This window comes from Homo sapiens, chromosome 5 (genome assembly GCF_000001405.40).
Source record: "Homo sapiens chromosome 5, GRCh38.p14 Primary Assembly".
NCBI lineage: Eukaryota > Metazoa > Chordata > Mammalia > Primates > Hominidae > Homo > Homo sapiens.
In genome coordinates, this window is record NC_000005.10 from 37,947,992 (window position 1) to 37,951,415 (window position 3,424).

Here is a 3,424-nt window from a genome sequence, read left to right on the forward strand (position 1 = left end):
TTTGCACTTGAAATCCATACCCAGTATATAGCCAGTGCCTGCTGAGGTTTATTTGTCCACTTGTTCAAGTGTGGGGTTTGGTGGTGGGAAGGTCATGGACTTGGAGCTGGGTTTTGCAACTTTGCAATCTTGAGAAAGACAGCCAACTTCTTCGTGCCTTTGTCTCTAGGAAATGAAAGCCCAGAGATGTGATGATTTTTAAGAGTTGAACTGAGCTGCAAGCTTGTGGATCATGTAAGTGCTAACAGAGGCAGACGGAGAAGGAAGATCTGTCATGAAGTGCTACGGTGGGAGGTGCGTCAGCTTGGGGTGGAGGGGTCCCAGGTGGCCCCAGGAGAAGAGGCCTCTGAACAAAGAAGACAATGCTTGGGTTACGGTGGAAGGGACACGGAAGGTGAGTGTTTTCTTCTTATAATTCTAGAATGATAGGGCTCCAAGAGTCCTCAGCGATCTTCTAACTGAACAAACTCATTTGAAATATGGGAAAATGGAGTATACAACAAATTAGAGACTTGGCGAGGAAAAAGGATCCAGTTAGCAACAGAGGTGGGATTTGAACAGGTTTTCCATTTCCAGCCTCACCATTCTTTCTCCTGTCTCTATTCCAAATTGAATGACTCTCCGAGGGTGCCAGTGGGAAGTAAGCTTCTTTTCCCCAAACCGGACACTTTGTCAGATGGCACAGCCTTTCCTTAAGAGCTGCAGCTCACGTGGTGCCAGTTTCAGATGCCAGTGTTAGCTGCTTATTCCTTGGGGTCTCCTAGGCCAGTCCCATGGCTTTATTACTTAGCCAGGCCAAGAGTTGGAGAGACTAGTTTCTGAGAAATATAAGATTTGAGGGATATTTTGTGGTTTGGATTTCCCTCGAAGCAGAATCTGAAATGAGGAATTGAGGGCAAGTCATTTATTTGGTAGGTGATCCCAGGAAACACCACCTGGGAAGTGAGGCAGGGAAGAGGAGGGAGGAAGCCAATAAATGATGTGTTATCAAACCAGTCACCACCATGGGCAACTGGACCTTGGTTCTGCTAGGGTACTCGGGGAGACCATATAGAACAGATACCTTAGAGCAGGGTTTCACAAACTCGGCACTGTTGATATCTGGGGCTGGATAATTCTTGGTTTAGGGGATTGTCCTTTGTGCTGTTAGATGGTTAGTAGCATCCTGAACTGTACCCGTTAGATGCAAGTTGCATCTCCTCCCCACCCCTCCTCCCACCTGTTGTGACAATCTAAAAATTCTCTAAACATTGTCAAATGTCCCCTGGGGGAATCATTTGTGAAGAATTGAGAAACCACTGCCTTAGAGTTATCCCGTTTAAGGGACAAGGAAGCTGGGGTATATTTATCCTCCGACTCTCTGTCTGTCACTGGTAGCAGGCTGTTTTTTGGGGGCATTGACTTTCTAGAATTCATTGGCCAGGCATGTTATCTTCATCAGAAAAAAGGATTCAGGCCAAGATTTTCAGGAAAACAGCTCTTGGCATTTAGAGGAGAGTTCTGAATGTACATGAGTGAGGCAGAGAAAACACCTAAGATTGTAGTCATTTGGGCATATGCTTTATCATTCATCATTAGCCATCATTTCTTCACCATTCTACAAATGTTTATCAAGGACCTACTGTGTGCTAGATGCCAGGCACAACATAGGAGATTCAATGTCCAATGATGAGCAAAAAATGGATACAGCTCCTGCCTTTATGCCTTTTGAAGTAACAGTCTAGAGGAGCAATGAACACTAATCAAGTAACACAAATGAATTTTTAAATCATACAGTGATAGTGCTATGATAAGCTACAAAGTACTGAAATAAGTCATAATACATTGGCTATTCTTCCAACACCCTGTCTTCAGGGCATTGGCAATTGTCATTCCCTCTATCAGGAACATTTTTCTTCCAGGTAGCAGAGCTTTGTTTTTCTCTGCATTTAGGGTGCAGTTAAGTGGTCCTCTCTTCAGAGGAGCTTCAGAGACCACTTAACTTTGACCACTTTATCTAAAACAGTGCTTGGCCCTTTCACCCTTTACTCTGTTCATTTCTTGTTCATAGCACCTGTCATACCTGACAGAGGTATTTTTATTGTTTATTTTTTGTCCCTCCCTGGCATGTCAATTGTCTCATTGCCTTTACATTCCTAGCAACTAGGTCAATGCCTGGAACTTAGTAGGTATTCAATAAATACTTGTTGTATGAATAATCGAGAGGGATTGACTTGGTGAGGTCAGGGAAGACTTTCTTAAGGCAATAGCAATAAGCCAAGATCTAAAGAGATAAGGAATTACCTGGATGAAGGGGATAGGGAAAAGCATTCTACACAGGAGGAATAGCATGCGGAACGGCTCTGTGGGTAGGAAGAAGCATGGAGATCCTAAAGAACTAAAAGCAGGACTGTGTACATGGAACAGAGAGAGGCTGGAGCTGTTAGTTAGGATTTTAAGCTTCAGAGTAAAAACAACAGAAAGCCATTGATGCATTTTAAGCAATGGAAAGTTGTACATGGGAAGGTGGAAGAAGGGTGGAAAACACAACCAGATTTTTATTTAAAAAAGATCATCTGGTTTCAGGGTCTGGAATGCTGGAAGGAGCCAAGAGCAGATGCCATCTTGGTGATGTGTTTCATCTTCAGGACCTGAGACCCATCTGGTCAAATATTTGTGTGTATATGCAAAATTTTAGGTCATTTGTTAAAAGGAGCTCATGAATACATGTCCTTGACTTCCCAGAGATGGAAAAAACACTTCTCTCCGCCAAAGAACTTCCAAATAGTGCTTCTAGCCTATGCTCCTCATCAGTGTCCATGTCTCTCAGATGTCTCTAGTTTTGGTTGAGGAATGAGGAAATGTGGTTGCCTCCTTTTATTGGCTGATTCGTCTGCTGAGCTCCTAACTTCTTAGCTAATCTAGGTGAAACCAACCCTTGTCCTGGACCCTGGGCTTTTGTGGAGGACTGTCTTACTGTTCACAAATACTCCGCCTTTTCCATGAGAAGCTAATTTATCCCTGCCTGTTGAAATTGGGCATGGACAATGACTTGCTTGGTTGTCTAATAAAATGTGAGCAGAAAGGATATGCGTCACTTCTGAGCCAAAAGTTTTCAGAGCCAGTGCATGGTTGGCCATGTTTTCTCTTGCCTTTGTAGGCACACAATAAATGTTTGTTGAAAAAAGATGAATAAAAGGAAAGAGCCCCAATTAGGAGCTGGGTTAGCTGAGGCCTATTCCCAGAGTTTCCACTAACTAGCTGTGGCATAATCATTTGGCTACTCTACTGGCCATAAATGGTTCTTTGTTATTTTGAAATGGAGTCTCGCTCTGTCACCCAGGCTGGAATGCAGTGGCAAAGCCTCTGCTCACTGCAACCTCCACCTCCTGGGTTCAAGCGATTCTCCTGCCTCAGCCTCCCAAGTAGCTGGGATTATAGGTGC

General features: G+C 43.8%; 1 long non-coding RNA gene across 1 annotated transcript; it reads left to right on the top strand.

Moving 5' to 3' along the window:
- The first annotated feature begins 499 nt into the window (after positions 1-499).
- On the top strand, positions 500-3,064 carry LINC02110 (long intergenic non-protein coding RNA 2110). The gene is made up of 2 exons (NR_134262.1): positions 500-546; positions 2,566-3,064. It is a non-coding gene; the product is annotated as a long intergenic non-protein coding RNA 2110 (long non-coding RNA).
- Positions 3,065-3,424: the final 360 nt, after the last annotated feature.